Here is an 18315-nt window from a genome sequence, read left to right as displayed (position 1 = left end):
AAAAGGTGAGTCATTCATCCTGAGACACATCTGCACTGTAGCAAGCAAACATTTGGGGAAGAAATTAACTGGCACATATGGGAGGTGGGTGTTATTTTCCTAACTAGCTCTACCCCACCACATATTTCAAAACATTTGTTTCAAGCCGTTGTGTTCTGCTCTATAAATGTGAGGTTTCCAAATAATAATTTCATATTGTATGTGAGAATCCCTGGTGTGACCGCACTCACAATATTACAGCGCTAAACATAGCTGCCCTTCTACATGATACAGACCATGATGAGATTTTTGTTGTTGTTGTTATTTCATGTGTTTATATTTTTCACTAACATTCCCTATAATACATGTACATGTGTAACATGAACAAAGAGATTTTCCTACCGCAAAAAATATATGTATTTCTAGGACCTATAATGGAGAGATTATATAAAAATTTATGGTAAGTCACTTGTTTTGACACTGTCACGAATCACGCTTTTAATAGAGTGAAGTTTTAGCTGAGATTTTTAAAGGTACTAGACAGGAAAACCTGTGCTGTATTAAAAGTCATTTACCCTGTAAAAATGCTATATAATTGTGACTTTATAGCTAACAAGCCCCGTGTTATCACATCATTTTTGCAGCACAGTGCCATCTCACACTCCATCTCCCTAATACATTTTTCTTAAATAATAGTCCCAATTATTGATGTTTATGTATTTCACACAAACACACAACAACAGCAACAAAGTGTTCAACACAGGAGAAGGCTGTTCCTTAGAACTCTTGAACACACAGATATAGGAGGGAATGGAAATACAGGTTGAGAATCTAAGAGAATGTGTTTTTTATAAGTAATTTGTAAAGTTGAAGTATTAAGCTCTCTATCATGAATGATTAACTTTGGTCATGTAAAGCACTGTTTTAGCTCTCTTTTCGTTTAGTGTTTTATCCAAACCTGCAACATTTTAGCATAAATGAGTTTTAAAAAATAGATTACCTAAAAGCGTAAGCAAATAAAAATCTTTAATTTCTAAAAATGGTGATTACATTCTCTTCATTTTGAACTTTATATTTGATGCCAGAATAACTTCAGTCTCTAACAACAGTTTATAATTCTTATATATTTTTCTAATTTATCTTCCAATTTTAGCTCAGAGACTGTATGAATCCCTACCAAATCATATGAGATTGACTTCAGTGTTGAAAGCTTCAGTTCATATACATCATTATTTTTAAATTATTAACATCAACATGAGTATATTATGGGAACATTTGCTATTGTGTTATTTTCCAATTTGTTTTAGGAAAAAATCCAAAATGAAAGCAGAACCCCCCAATTTTAACTGATAAAAAGAAGTCAATGACTATTACTATCTGTAGAAAACTGTTCAAATTTTAGTGTAGCCCTATATGGGTACAGATAAAGAGTTATTTCAGTTATGAGAACCCTGATACAAAATCCACAATTTGTTCTAAAAGCTTGTTATTTGCACAGATTTTTCTCTTTTGAGAGACACATGTAGAATTGAATTTGTTGGACATGAGCTTATCCCTTTTTAAAAATTACATTAAATTATTATGTATACCTTATTTAAAAAGAAAGTCTGTTAACATGAAATGAACTGTGATATCAAAGCCTACCCACGGACTATAGATATTAATTGTAGGTGTTCTTACATTAATACTTTTTGCTACTTTTGCATTAATTGAAATATAAAGGAAGGTGCAACGTGTTCTAATTTTTCATACTGAGTAATGTGTTATTGTGCTTTTATTATCTTGACACATGTTTCATTACTTTCCTACTTTCCTAGTGTTTCATTACTTTTCCTACTTCTAGTTTTTTATACTCTGAGTAATATGTTATTGTGCTTTTATTATCTTGGCACATGTCTCATTATTTTCCTACTACGAGAATTCAAGGGTAACTTTGATTCTTTCTTTCCCAAATATGATACTTATAAATTGTTTTTATTAAAAAGTAGTGAGCTTCTTGATAAAATATTTTAGTGGAGTTTTTTTTAACCCTATAACACTTCAAGGGAAAGTTCATTTTCTTAAATTTTAATGTATAAATTCAGTTTTATGATTCCAACTTTTAAAAAATATTTTCATGTTTAATCATTGGCAATATGACATCAATACATTTACGTAAGTTTATCATTTATATTATTAATTTTTGCTTATGAGCTTTCTCCTTATAATTTGTAACACATTTGCTTTGATTCAGAACTAAAATTAGATCTAAAGTGGACCAAAACCAATAGATTGACTCACTGAGAGAAATTATTTAGAGATTGTATTGAGGAAGCAATAAATGGTACTAATCTCAAGCATACAACAGATTTTAGGCACTAACACAAAACTAACAATTCCAAAGATTAGTAATATTAATTAGATATCAGCAGGCATTTTCTTAAGAAAAATAGTTCCTATTTTTCCTGAGAAACATTTGCACAATGAGAGGCAAATATAAGGTGCCCCTCACACAACAACAACAACAAAACTTAGCTTTCTTGCATAAAATATGGCTTATTTTCTACTTAACCAGGCATCATAGAATCCATAGTATGTGCTCTTCCAATAATGCTTTTGCTCCATGAGTGATGAAATGCAAATGTTGATACTGTCCAATAGCAAAACAGTAGAGGAATTTCTTCCATACAGAGTAAAAGAGACCTGTTTGAGACTATTTACAATGCATAGTCCCCCTAGTAGTCAATAGCTGGCTGGGATCTGAAAGGGGAGTTGAATACAGTTCTCTCTCTGCTCAATATAATAAAATTTTAGAAAGTAAGTCTTAGATCTGGTGGTATTTAAAATACTTACCAATAAATGACTTTTATAATCTATGCTTACTAAATTCTTCCTAAAACTGGATCATGGGGGTAACACACTGAACTCTGTGCTACAGCCTACAGTAGCTTAATGAAAAAAGTTGCTTTTTTATTTAAAGGGGAAAGGAGGAAAGGTTGAAATTGGAGAAAAAAGAGACATACTGGAGAAAGAGAAAAGTTAGGGAGAAAAGGAGAAGAAAGGAAGGACACAAAAGTAGACACAAGTAAGAAAAATGGGTCATTTCCAGAGATAGATACAATTATTCAATATACTATGATTACTCTCTTGTGTTTTGATTTCCTGAAAAAAGTACTAAAGATTTTTCAACCTGTATTATTGATACAATTTATTTCCTTTTTCCTTCGTAGATGGTTATGTCCTTCGGAGTTACCTAGCGGACAAGTAAGCCCATTTTCTTCTACTACTATGCTTGTGAAAAGAATTTTGTGCCTTTCTTTTTAAAATATTTATAATATTACTTAAATAATGTAACCTACTCAACTATCATAAATAAATTTAAAAACAATATGCTATACTAACGTTAACATGTTAGTATCCATAATAAAGTTTAGGTTTCCATGAAGTGCTACTCTTTTAAATAGGCGAGGAGCCCTTCTCATTTAAAATTGTACAGCTCATAGTTAATAGTTTTATATATTCATTAGGCTCTCAGCAAACACTGAAGACATGTCAAAGCCAGTAACCTTTTCATCAATATTTTGCATTTTACTTGCTAATGCAATTGATTGAGTGGAATTAATTTGGGACCAATTAGTGACTTCATAGTAGGTGCTAATATCACCTGTTAACAGTTCATAATTTAGCCCTTAATTAAGGGCTTTGCTTCACTCACACTAGGCATAGTAGAGTACTATGTTGCCTTTTATGGAAGCATGCCAGAAAAAAAGACAGTCATCAATGATTCTTCTATTCTTATGAATAAGACATTGTCACAGTCTGTCACAGTGTGGTACTAGTGTGCCTTTGGAGTCCCCTGAAACATAAGATTCTGTCCCAAGTAACCCAGTGCAAGAAACGAACTCCATTATCAGGTTAGGTCACGTGCCAATGCAAAGATTTACAGAATTTAGCACAATGAAAAGATCCAGAAGGAGTCACAAACTGTGTACCCATCAACAACCTGACACCAATCAGAAAAACACAAATCAGTGTGAAGAGCTTTGCTGGCAAACTAGTAAAGGCCAAAGAAAAATAATCATAATACCTTTGTTCTCCTGAGCACATTAATCACAGTGGGAGGCAAGAGACTTTCAATAGGTTTTGTTCTATGAAAGATACAAATTTTAAGGACAGAATGTGTGGCAAATAATAGGACAACATCTCCATCAGTGATTATTACAGGCTGATTGAGAGAATTTAGAAAGCATACTCTGTAAGTAATTGTTGGTTCACCACCTATTGAAGCGAATACTTAATAAATGTTTATTGTATAAATGACAGAAAAACCTGTCCTGCTCGCATTTGGATGAGATTTCCGTTAGCCAAACCCTCCCTCCATCTCAGAGAAAAGATCCAAACAGAAGACATAGGGAACTCACAGCATCTGCCATAGTTGGCAGCAGTTTGAAGGGCCTGCTGCTGCTTCCATGATAAAGCACAGAGATTGTACAGCAAAGAGTAGTTCTGGTCTAAGTGACAAAGCCACCCTACATTTCTGAATTTTAGAAGTATATCTTACATTTCAAGGCAATGTTCATGTTTATAATGCTCTCTATTTTTATTTCTTATATAATCTCCTGTTTGATTATAAGGTACTTAAAAGCAAAGCTTGTCTCTTACTCAAATTTTTGTCTCCTGGTACATAGAAGGGATTCAGTATGTTTGTCGGATAGAAAATATCACAAAGATTCAGGGCCAGGCAAAACCTAAAATGTGTAAAAGTACCAAAATTACTATTATGGATGCTGCCTATAATCATAAGTAATAGTTTTAAAATTACATAAGAATCACCATAATAATCATATCTTGGCTACTTATTCTGTAACTAATATTTATATATTTTATTATATGTATGAGTTATAATTAGAAAACATGTGAAAATGATGCAACCATTTCCTATGCCAATTATTATTGTATTTAATTCACCATTCGAAATTCAAGTGAAAGTATGAATCTGATATTAACAGACATAAAAGTCCATTGCAGCTTTGAATTAACATCCCCAATGGGAGTATTGTACCATGATGTTTAGTACATTGTTAACAAACATGTCTTATAAAGATGAGTAAGGCATAGTCTATGCTCTTGAAGCATGTTTTAATTATTCTGTATGTAAAATGAAACAGAGGACTAGATTAAGTCAATGAAAGAAGAGATAATGAATATCAAATTTATTTCTACTTATAAATGCATACTATGCTTAAAAGTCTTAATTGTGTCTTATAAAATTATACTGTTACTCTATTCTTCTATATATTGCTCTAATGCCAAGAACATAGTTTCTTTAAAATAAAAATTTTTTTTTACATTTACAGTGATGGAGAGATCTATGATGATATTGCTGATGGTAAGTCTTATGTAGTACCACCCTAGAGAACAGTCATAGTGAATTTACTGTTTTTATAAATGCTAAAAATAGCTTGTTGGATTAGAGACTTCCAATCTGATCAGAATTTGAATCACTTGAAAATGTTAGAAAAGGTAAATGCCCTGGCATAATGGGGGGAAAATACCGCATTTCCCACAAGATGGAAAATTAAGGAAAAACCTTATTTATTTCTTTGAAAACAGAAGTATAAAAATATTTGGGAAATTTTTTATTGTACTGTGACTCATAATAAGAATTTCTTTTATCCAAGCAAATAAACATTTTTGGCAAATAAATAGGTACTTATTTCATAACCAGTAATACCAATATTCTCTAAGCATCATATAGTTCCAAACTGTAATCTAAAAAATTAATCTAACTGAAATGATGCAGTGTTGATCATGATTTCCTTTAGTCTTTTAAACTTATGAGTCTTGCTCTTTAATATCTTCAACCTCGTTCAGAGTGACTACCAAAAAGTATATGACTAAGTGCCACATAAAATAATCTTGAGTCTCATTTTAATAGAGAATAAATCTGTCCAGAAATTTTGTTGAATTATATACTAAATAATAAAAGTTAAATATATGATCTTCCATTTAACTCATTTTTTATAAAGTGAGCCAGTTCTATTTTTTTTAATCCTTAACCAGGAGAGTATGAATCACCCACATTTCCAAACTTGGAATACTTAGAGAATATGTTTTTAATAACTATATTTAAATTTGTATTTTTTCCTTTCAGGCTGCATCTATGACAATGACTAGCACTCAACTTTGGTCATTCTGCTGTGTTCATTAGGTGCCAATGTGAAGTCTGGATTTTAATTGGCATGTTATTGGGTATCAAGAAAATTAATGCACAAAACCACTTATTATCATTTGTTATGAAATCCCAATTATCTTTACAAAGTGTTTAAAGTTTGAACATAGAAAATAATCTCTCTGCTTAATTGTTAACTCAGAAGACTACATTAGTGAGATGTAAGAATTATTAAATATTCCATTTCCGCTTTGGCTACAATTATGAAGAAGTTGAAGGTACTTCTTTTAGACCACCAGTAAATAATCCTCCTTCAAAAAATAAAAATAAAAGAAAAAGGAAAATCATTCAGGAAGAAATGACCTGTCTAAAAAAACCTAAGGAAGAATAATAATATAAGAAAGGAAATTTAAAAACATTCCACAAGAAGAAAAATTATTGTTTATACTTCTACTTATGGTTATATCTTATATTCTCTATTCAAGTGACCTGTCTTTTAAAAAGGCAGTGCTGTCTTACCTCTTGCTAGTGGGTTAAATGTTTTCAAAAATTATAGCAGTAGTAGAAGTTTTGTATAAAATTTGTCCTTATTTGTTAATTGTATATAAATGTTAATTATTTGATACGAATGTTATGCATTTAGTATGCACATTGAAGTCTAAACTGTAGAAGAGTCTAAAACAAGTTCTCTTTTTGCAGATTCACATACTAATGGTTTAATTCTGTGCTCTGTTTAAAGTACTATTATAACTAGAGTAGATCTGAATGAGGATAACCCTAAAATCATGAGGAATGGAAGAATGGACCTTGAAACTACCTAGGCTTTTATGCATGGCACCTCTTTATAATGAAGACACTTTTTAAAGTTTTTGTTTTTGTTTCAATTACCGCTAGATTTTTTTTTCTCTTTTTTTAAAATCCATTTTACTGGAAAGTTGGCCAGCAGAGGGAGTAGAAATTATTAAAATTCTAGTGTTTGGATTGGGCCCTTCTCTAACAGTACATACTCATTCCCAAAGCAATCCAAAAACAAAATGTGAACCATTTGGGTTTCAAATGTTAAGAACACTAAATAGCATGATTTAAAAAATGAAAAATGCTAACACCCAAGAAAAGAAGATATTAAGTGCTTTTTAACAACTCCTAGAGTACAAAATGAGTACATCATAATGCTGGCTCTTCTACTAATGAACCATCGAGTGATATTGAATAAATTATTTATCTTCTCAGTTTCCTTATCTGTAAATTACAATATTAGACTAAGTAAGTTTTTCCAACTCTTCACTACCAATTACCTTAGGCTTTTATAATGCTCCGCCTACTTCAGTCCCATGTTTCAGAAGCTTTTGTCTATTTTTTAAACTCATTGATTAAATAATGATTAATGCATTCTCCACATTTTAATATTGCAAAGGCCCATTGGAGTTTCTGAAGTGGCTCCACAGAATTGAAATAATTTCAAATAACTGTAAAGGAACTGAAAATCTTCACAGAGATGAAGTGGGGTTTCCATTAGGTGCTTTGAAATTTGATAACAAATCATCAACTTCCACTGGTCAATATATAGATTTTGGGTGTCTGAGGCCCCAAGATTAGATGCCACTAATCTCCAAAGATTCCCTCCAATTATGAAATATTTTAATGTCTACTTTTAGAGAGCACTAGCCAGTATATGACCATGTGATTAATTTCTTTTCACACTAGATAAAATTACCTGGTTCAAAAGTGGTTTTTGTTTATTAAATTTGGTAATAAATATATATAATACACAGACAGGATAGTTTTTATGCTGAAGTTTTTGGCCAGCTTTAGTTTGAGGACTCCTTGATAAGCTTGCTAAACTTTCAGAGTGCCCTGAGACACTTCCAGCCATCCCTCCTCCTGCCTTCATTGGGGCAGACTTGCATTGCAGTCTGACAGTAATTTTTTTTCTGATTGAGAATTATGTAAATTCAGTACAATGTCAGTTTTTAAAAGTCAAAGTTAGATCAAGAGAATATTTCAGAGTTTTGGTTTACACATCAAGAAACAGACACACATACCTAGGAAAGATTTACACAATAGATAATCATCTTAATGTGAAAGATATTTGAAGTATTAATTTTAATATATTAAATATGATTTCTGTTATAGTCTTCTGTATGGAATTTTGTCACTTAAGATGAGCTGCAAATAAATAATACCTTCAATGGATAACCTTGCCTCCTACTTCATTAAAAAAATTGAGGCTAGCCAGATGCGGTGCCTCACATCTGTAATCCTAGCACTTTGTGTGGCCGAGGAGGGCACATTTCATGAGCCCAGGGGTTCCAGACCATCCTGGGCAACAAGGTAAAACCCTGTCTCTACAATAAATACAAATAATTAGCTGGGTGTGGGGGCACATGCCTGTAGTTTCAGCTACTTAGGAGGCTGTGGTGGGAGGATCACTGGAGCCTGAGAGGTCGAGGCTGCAGTAAGCCATGATTGTGCCACTGTCTCAAAAAAATTTACCCTGTCTCAAAAAAAAGAAATAAATATATTTTTTTAATATTGAGGCCATCAGGCTTCCTCTCTCTTAACTTGATCCTACATCTACAAAACAGTCTTTCTCTGCATCCAACCTTGACTCTAGCTTCAGCCTCAGAAGACGGGATATCTCCTCTTCAAGACCAAACCTTCTACCAAGACTCCTAATACTTTGACTCCTATTTTGTGTCAGAAATTAAGATAACTAAACGCAATTCCTTTCAATTCCCTACAACCTTTGACCTTAACCCATATCCAGACACTGTCCCAGAGAATAAGATGTCATGCCTTAAATTCAAAGCCATAACCTTTGGATCCCATTTCTTCCTGCCTTTTCTGGAGTGTTTGTCTTTTACAATTCATTCTTTCCCATTCTCCTTCTCCTTTTCTGCCTCCCTCTGGCTATCCCTCTTCTTTATCTTTAAGTTCTCCCACTGTGCAGATTCCTTTCTCTAGGCTTACAAACACTGAAATCTTTCCCATCTAAAAAGCAACATGAAACTTTGCCTTGGGCCCAAAAACCTGTCCAGCTACAGCCCGTTTGGATTTTTTTCCCCTCATTTCATTGTCTTAAAATGGCAGGGTATATGTGGCAGCCAGGAGAATGTGCCTCAAAGACTTCCAACTATGGGGCATTTAATTGTCCAAAAGTCCCCAGCTGCTGCATTCTGAAATCCATCACAATGTTTGTGCCAAGATCAGGCTGTTCTAGCTAATGACTGAGTGTTGCAGGGATACTGAGGCAGGCCTATTCCTGAAAGACACAGAACTCCTCACATGGCCAACTTCAGTTTGAGGACTCCCTGACAAGCTTGCTAAACCTGCAGAGTGCTCTGAGACACTTCCAACCATCCTCCCTCCTGCCTTTATTGGTATAGACTTGCATAGCAGTCTGTCAGCTCCTCCAGCCTTCTCCAGCTCCCTTCCCATTTTCTCTCACACATGTATTCTTCCCCACCCACACATGTATTCCTCCCTTCCCATTTTCACTCCCTCTTGGTGTCTGCTTTCCAGAGAATCCAAACTGAACACAGGACATCTGAAGAGTTTGTAAAAATACACATTTTTTTTTTCTCTGCAGATCAACAAATAAAAATCTCTAGGGAAGAAACTTTGGAGTTCATTTTTCCTTAACTCTAAATATGAGTTTAATGCTCAGCCACGTTTGAGAATCTCCCATCCCTATTCATCCTTTGCCATATGCTCAGGGTATATTCAATCGTCAACTTACTGCAACTCGATCTCTGCTACGATTTCTCTAAAGTCATCTCTACATGATATCCCACAGGTACCTGTAACTCATGGAACTCAGAAAGGAACCTTTTCTCTTTCCCCCTAAAACTAATTATCCCTCCTATAGATTTTACCTCAGTGACATCTGAATCATCCAGTCATCCAAGCTCAAAACATGGAGGCTGCTCTCTTTCTCCTCTTTTACTCTCTATCTGATGAAATATCATTAAACAGAGCTCCTAGAAAACAAATAATTTTGTTTTATTTGTTTTTATATTTCTTACTTTATGGCATATTTGAAGCCCTTCATTATATATTTAATAATTAAAGAATCAATGAATGATGTGTCTGCAAGGACTGTGTTAATCCTGTGGGCTGCCACTGTAATTTTTTCTTAATTACTATTTCAGATGCCATAAGAGGTTAAATAAATTGATGACCAAGAAATCTCTATTTGATTTACCAACATGTAAGTCATTGGCCACCTGAGAAAGATTCACTGAAGCAATCAAGACCAAGCTGATTGCAATGATGTCGCTCATCAGGCTTTCTGGAAACAGATGGGATAGAGTTTGAGGGAAGAGATGTCTATTAAGGATCAATATTTGTGAAAGGAAGGGGAGGAGGAAAGATTGGTCAGAGAAAGAGGTTGAACATGATGCAAGCCTGACAAAAATTCAGCCGACCAGACTGAGGCCTCTGGAGTAAATGCGGCCCAATACTTATCGTCCTTCAGGCCAACATAGCCAGCCTTTGTGATTTTGCCTTGCTCGTGGTTATCTGTGGGCCATCCTGGGAAGGTCATGATCTGTACAAGATGACATTGCACAATCATGAACAGTTTCCATTCTGTTCTCTCCAGGAAAACAGTAGGCTATATGTACATTCTCCTAAAGTAGTCTGGAGCATAAGCACAATCTTCAGCTTTATTTGCAAATTTGAGAAATGGATAAATGCTCAACAGGTACTTCTCATCTTTGGGGGTTCATCTGCAACCAGCAATTCCTCTATAACTCTCTCCACAGCCTACTGAGTTAGAAAAGTTTCCAAAAGTTGGAAAGTATATTTAAATATCAACCTATTAATGGTCTCCCTCCTCAGTTTAGATAATGATTCAGTTATTATTCATGATTGGCAGCAAGCAAGAGAAATTTACTATTGCCCTTAAGTAACTTACTCATGAGTCAAAGTCCCTGCAGAGAGAATTCCATTGACTGTGCTTGAGTCATGTGCCTGACCATGTGGTGGGGGAAGGGAGGGTTCTAACCCTTCAGCTCCCATAGTAGCAAAAAGTCACCTAGAATTATCCTCCCAAACAAGACTACACTTAGTGGTGGAAAGATAATTTCCCAATAAAAAATTCAGGGAGGCCGGGCACAGTGGCTCACGCCTGTAATCCCAGCACTTTGGGAGGCCGAGGCGGGCAGATCACGAGGGCAGGAGATTGAGACCATCCTGGCTAACACGGTGAAACCCCATCTCTACTAAAAATACAAAAAATTAGCCGGGTGTCGTGGCATGTGCCTGTAGTTCCAGTTACTTGGGAGGCTGAGGCAGGAAAATTGCTTGAACCCAGGAGGCGGAGGTTGCAGTGAGCTGAGATCGCACCACTGCTCTCCAGCCTGGGCGACAGAGCAAGACTCTGCCTCAAAAAAAAAAATTCAGGGAAAGCAAACTTGACTTCATGAGTGAAACAGGGTATATAAAAAAAATTTTTTTGAGACACAGTCTCACTCTGTTGGCCAGGCCGGAGTACACTGGTGCCATCATAGCGCACTGCACTCTTGACCTCCCAGGCTCAAGCAATCCTCCACCTCAGCATCCCCAGTAGTTGGGATTACAGGCATGTGCCACCAGTCCTGGCTAATTTTTTATTTTTGTAGAGATGGGTGTCTCACTATGTTGCACAGGCTGGTCTTGAACTTCTGGGCTCAAGTGATCCACCCACCTTGGCCTCCCAAAGTGCTGGGATTATAGGCATGAGCCACCAGAACCAACCAAAAATATTTTAAAAGAAGATCAAGGTATATTCTGCTTACATATTAAACACATACTAATATTTCTCTGATGTATTGTTTTCCCTCAGTCTTCTTGAATAATTTGGTCCTTTATCATTCCTTGCTCACTTTTGATACAGATATTGGTAGAAAATTAGTTTTGTCCTGTGAGAAACATCATATTGGCATGATGATAAATGGTAATTTGGTATGGAGACAGTAGAGAAGGTAGGGAGGGGCCTGTGGCAAACTGTAGAATATAAGCTCTGTCCATGGGAATGAGTTGCTAATTATGCTGGGTATCTTCTGTTTGGTCCTCTGGATTCCCCCTCTCCAACCTTCTCCATCCTGTTCTGTGCCTTTTGAGACCAACCTTTATGGACTGGACTCAAGAGGTTCCCTTGACTTCAGCTGCCAGTTTCACTGGGCCCGTGGGGGAGCAATAGCACTCAATGAGAGGGACGGGGAGTGAAGTTTGGATGTTTATTTGTTCGGCATCCTCTCAGGGAAATCCTTACAAGGTGGCGGTGTCCTTCACTCAAAGGCCACAGCTCTGTCGGACAGGCTTTTCCACATTGTGCTGGCTCTCTAGGTTCCAGTGCTTCTCCCTGGACTTGCCCCTTCAGGATTGCAACCACTTCCTGTGTTTACCAGCCCTAGGGTACTGTGTTTTACTTTGTGGCTTCCTGACATACTGTTCACACATTTGTAAACAATCACTGAATGAAACCTTCCTCAAATTTCCCAATTTGAGTTTGCTATTTGGTTCCCACGTAGGTCCTGCTGATGTACGTATGACTCAGCTCTGATGAGTTGTGAGCCCAGTGTTGATTCTCCTCCTTTTCAAGAGAAGCTGAAATCGAAGTTTATATATAAAAATTCCACTTGTTTTTATCGTAAATTCAATTTTTTAAATGCACTATTCAGAGCAAAAAAATATCTCCGTAGGCCAGATTTGGCCCACGCAGTTAGTCTGCAACCTCTGCCATTTATGATAAGAAATAAATCAGATGAAGGAGAGGCCACTCTAGCTATCCAACCCTGCCAATATTGTGGAAACTTTATGTACAGGTGAGTGATGGACAAGATGTATTTAGTGTCTATAATAGCCAGATTCCATCGCTTTTAGTAGCACCAAAGGCCATTGAGTGATCTAATAAGAATATGATCATAAAAAGTAATGTGGCTGCACAACATTCTTCAGCATCTGAAATGTTGCAAATACCCTCACCTGAAACTAAACAGAAGTCTACAGTCAAACTGTGGTTTGGGATGTGCTCAACTGAGAATAATATTCTCATAATAATGTAGGCTGTCTGAGGCCAGGTTGTTATCAACAAAGGAGAGTGAAGAAATATCTGCAATGACCACCAATGTAAGCCCTCTCATCTCGGTTCTTGGAAATAGATCTTTGAAATATTGTCATATTTTTCAAAAACTTTATATTAAGTTCATTATTTAGTAATGTAAACCACATCTTCCCTTTCAACTTGATGATCTCAACACATATGTAATCATACATGAAAGCTTAGCTCTCCATCATGTCTCTAGCAGCAGTACTAAAGGGAATCTTTTTTAAGTTAGGATTGAAATTTAGGTTACTATACTTAAGCAAATTCAATATGTTTGTCAGAGCTTCACCCTAAATGGTGGAAGCTGTGTTAAGTAAAGCACTGAAATCCTCCCACATGCCTCAGGGGACCTGAGTTTTCTTTTGGCTTCTCATCTTTAATATGTATGGATCTAAAAGAGGTGCACTAAGCTATAGTGGCTACTTAACTTCCAAGATCTAAATGAATGTGCAGAACTACAAAAACCAAAACCATAAGGTATTAAAGAACACATATAGGTGTTTGTGCATTCATCTAGAGGAGAAACAACAACCAAAGATCTCCACTATTCATAATGTATCTATCTACAGAAGTAGACTTACTAGGAAGATATCTTAGGTTGGTGTTTTCATCCATTTGGACTGCTATAACAAAGTACCACAGACTGGGTGGCTTATAAACAATAGAAATGTGTTTAGTACAGTTCTGGAGAGGGTGGGAAGCCCAAGATTAGGGTGCCAGCATGGTCAGATTCTGGGGAGGGCCCTCTTCCGGAATGCAGACTGCCTAGTTCTTGTCTTCACTCTACAGCAGAGAGTGAGCTAGCTCTCTGGCCTCTTCTTATAAAGACACTGATCCCACCCATGAGGGTTTCACTATCAAAGACTCAACCTCCCAATACAATCCCTAAGTCCCCAAAGGTCCAACCTCTCAAAGACCCAACCTCCAAATACCATCACATTAAGGATTGTGTTTCAACATATGAAACTTGGAGGTGTGGTGAGCACAAGCAATCAGTCCACAACAGTCCGGTTCCTTAGAAGCAGAGCTCCAGACAGGAATTCTTGTGCAAGGGATTTGTTAAGGATGTGCTCTCAGGAGAAACCTGTAAGGAGTGAGGAAGCAGGAGAGCACAGGAGAAGTTAGACAAAGACGTAGAGGCAGCTAAAGCCCAGTCTCACCTGATTCCACAGCAAGAAAGGCATCACTGAATTATGTCACCTTGAGGCAAGGGAGCTGGGCTTTTATACCCTCCCACTCAGTCATTTTAAAAAATGAGGCGGCCGGACGTGGTGGCTCATGCCTGTAATCCCAGCACTTTGGGAGGCTGAGGCAGGTGAATCACGAGGTCAGGAGTTCGAGACCAGTCTGGCCAACATAGTGAAACCCCGTCTCTACTAAAAATACAAAAAAAAATTAGTCGGGCGTGGTGGCGGGCACCTGTAATCCCAGCTACTCGGGAGGCTGAGGCAGGAGAATCACTTGAGCCCCAGAGGCAGAGGTTGCAGTGAGTCGAGATTGTGCCATTGCACTCCAGCCAGGGCAACAGTGTGAGACTCCATCTCAAAAAAAAAAAAAGAAAAAAATGAGGTTTAGAGATGATATATGATTTTCCCAAATTACAAAGCCAATAAGGCTTACACCCTGTGCACAAGGTCTTAATTGTGATATCCTGCTGTCATTTTATATATGATACACACTTCTCCCTTATCTCACTAAATAATAATAATAAGCAACAAACAAAAGCTTGAAAATTATCAGTGAGACACAAGGAAGGCAGAAATTAGGAAAATTGTTAGTTCTTTTTTGTTATGATACAGATGGCAATCAGAATAAAAATAATATTAAATGAGGTCGAATGCCTAGTTTTAAGAAAGGAAGTTATATACATTTAATTAACGTTACATGCATTTAATTAACATTTAATTAACGTTAGATTAATATATATTTAATTATACATTTAATTAACGTTAGATAAATTTGGTATCTAATATATACATTTAATATATATACATTTAATTAATGTTAGATAAATTTGGTATTATGAGCTATACAGTTTAAAATAACTGAAGAAAAATGATGACAACATGGTATGATTGACTGTTCAGCAAACATATCTGAGTTTACATATCCAGAATAGTATTGTTCCCTCCAAAGCAGTCAATATGAGGGGATGTATACCTATTTCAATATTTTCCATAAAATTAGGATTCATTAGCATATCAAAAGAATACCTGGCCAGGTGCTACAGCTCATGCCTGTAATCCCAGCACCTTGGGAGGCCAAGGCAGGAGGATTGCTTGAAGCCAGGAACTCTAGACCAGCCTGGGCAACATAGCAAGACCATGTCTCTACTAAAAATAAAAAATATAAAGTTAACTGGGCATGGTGGGGCATGCCCGTAGTCCCAACTACTCAGGAAGGCTGAGGCAAGCGGATCCCTAAAGCCCAGGAGTGAGCTATGATCACGCCCACTGCATTCTAGCCTGAGCGACAGAGACCCCGTCTCTAAACAAACAAAACAAAACAAAAAACAAAAGGGATAGTGCACACCTGTGCTTATTACAGCACTATTCACCATAGCAAATATATGGAATCAATCTAAGTGTCTATCAGTGGATGAATGGATAAAGAAAATGTGGTATATATACATAATGAAACTCTAGTCGGCCATAAAAGAGAAATAAAATCCTTCCATTCGTGGTAACATGGATGCAACTGGAGGTTATTATATTAAATGAAACAAGCCAGGCACAGAAAGACAAATACTGCGTGTTCTCACTCATGTGGGAGCTGGGAAAGTTGATCTTATGGAGGTAGAGAGTACAATGATAGATACTAGAGGCCGGGAAGGGTGTGTTGGGACGGGTGAAGGGTAGGAAGAGAGGGTGGTGAATGGGTACAGACATACAATTAGCTGGAAGGAATGCCTAATGTTCAATAGCACAGTAGGGTGACTATAGTTAATAATAATTCATCGTATATTTCAAAATAGCCAAAAGAGAAGATTTGAAATGTTCCCAATACAAAGAAATAAACATTCAAGGTGATGGATAGCCTACACACCCTGACCTGATCATTACACATTCTATGCATGTATCAAGATATCACATGTACCCCATGAATATGTATAAATATTACATATCAATAAAAATTATTAGGATTTCTTATTATGCCAAAAAAGGGGGTGCAGAGAGATTGTATCTTCAAATTTGCCTTTAGTACTTAGGGAAAATTGATTTTTAATATCTTCATTACTGAAATATAATAAATGCTTACCCTTTGAAAGTGGATTTTAGTTTTGCAAACGGGCAAAAACCATTCAGAGTCACATATGATGTATAAAGTGGGTGAACAAGAAAGGCAATACTCTTGTGAAATTAAGCTGTGACCTTATATTAATGATGGTTTCTTGTTTATCATAAACTGCCCCTAACCTTTCTTAGTATTGGAAGATAAATTTGATTGAATGTTTATTTTTTTATTTATAATAATAGTACAACAGTTTTCTGTCTCCATCAGTCACTTTTTAAAAAATAATTATCTTGTTAAATAAAACATTACGAATACATTTAAAGCTACCTGTGTACCTCATCCAATTACACTTTGTTTCCTCTTTCCCTCCTTCCTAGGGAAAACCAGCATCCAATTGTACTGTTTATCATTTCCATGCATTTATTTATGTTTTCATTACATATGGAAATTTATCAGTATTATTTTATTGGTGTTTTAAAAAATTTTATATAGCTAGTATCATATTGTATGTAGTTTTCTTTTATCTTTAAATTTTTTTTTTTTTTTTTTTTTTTTTTGGAGATGGGGTCTCACTCAGTCGCCCAGGCTGGAAGGCAGTGGCATGATCTCAGCTTATTGCAGCCTCCGCCTCCAGGGTTCAAGTGATTCTCCTGCCTCAGCCTCCCCAGTAGCTGGGATTACAGGCATCTGTCACCACGCCCAGCTAATTTTTGTATTTTTTAGTAGAGATGGGGTTTCACCGTGTTGGCCAGGCCGTTCTTGAACTCCTGACCTCAAGTGATCTGCCTGCCTTGGCCTCCCAAAGTGCTGGGATTACAGGTGTGAGCCACTGCACCCAGCCTGTATGTACTTTTCTGCATCCTGCTTTTGTTGCTCCTCCTTATGTTTGGAAAAGGTATCTCATTCTATTGAATTACTAACCTACAGATATTTCTATTTTTCAATTGAAGGCCATGTTAAATTGTTCCCAATATTTTTGCTATCCTAAAGAATGTTTCTCTGAATGTTCATGTCAGAATTTCCTAGGACACATGGATGAAATTCTCTCTATGTCATATACCCAGGAGGGGAATTACTAAAGGGTAGGGTACGCAGGTTTGCACATCCTCCACTTGAATAGATAGTGCCAAATGGCTTTTTGTGTCTTGTTTAAGAAACACTTACTTTCACCAGCTCATGAAGATATTATCCTGTATTTTATTCTAAAGTTTTACAGTTTTACTTTTCATTTTAAGTTCTTTGAACCACCCAGAAATGTAGATCTTCCTCCCTCCCTCACCCCAGTGTGAATAAGCAGATAAATAGTTTCTCCGGGCCATTTAGTGACTGGTCCAAACCTCTCTACCAACGAACAATCCTCCTGCTTCAGCCTCCCCAGCAGCTGGAAATACAGGCATGCACCACCACATCCAGCTAACTTTTTTTTTTTTTTTTACAGTGTCTCATTACATTAACTGGGCTGACTTCTAACTCCTGGCCTCAAACGGTCCTCCTGCCTTGGCCTCCCAAAGTGCTACAGGCATGAGCCACCACACCCGGCCTCTTATACATTTTGATACAATTTACTTATAAAACTATTTAAACCCAGCACTTGACCAGCCTAGGCAGCAGAGTAAGACCCTGTCTCAAAAAAATAGAAGTAAATATAAATAAAACATTTACGATAGATATTGTTATTGCAGGTAGATTTTAAAGTACCTATCCATTGGGTTTTTAATCTTATATATTTTTCCTAATGCCTACTTGATTACTTCCCAAATCCATCTGATCCTTTTCAATTGCTGGTTTTGTATTCATAGTTTTTTAGTCCGTCTTTTATTCTCTTAAACATTTTAACATCATTATTTGTATTATGTATGTA

The 18315-nt window shown here is 36.4% G+C and overlaps 1 protein-coding gene across 14 annotated transcripts in view; it reads left to right on the top strand.

Annotated features, from left to right (window-relative positions):
* The window catches only part of FYB1 (FYN binding protein 1), a 169277-nt gene extending 160951 nt beyond the window's left edge, over positions 1-8326 (top strand). For all 14 annotated transcript variants that reach the window (XM_006714464.4, XM_047417073.1, XM_047417072.1 and 11 more), the window contains 3 exons: positions 3189-3222; positions 5316-5347; positions 6113-8326. In XM_006714464.4, coding sequence (XP_006714527.1) covers positions 3189-3222; positions 5316-5347; positions 6113-6135 — 89 coding nt within the window. In that variant the 3' untranslated portion in view covers positions 6136-8326. The remainder of the gene's footprint in view (positions 1-3188; positions 3223-5315; positions 5348-6112) is intronic.

Source organism: Homo sapiens, chromosome 5 (genome assembly GCF_000001405.40).
Source record: "Homo sapiens chromosome 5, GRCh38.p14 Primary Assembly".
NCBI lineage: Eukaryota > Metazoa > Chordata > Mammalia > Primates > Hominidae > Homo > Homo sapiens.
The sequence above is the reverse complement of the archived record's forward strand: the minus strand, read 5'-3'. Positions and strand labels throughout refer to the sequence as shown.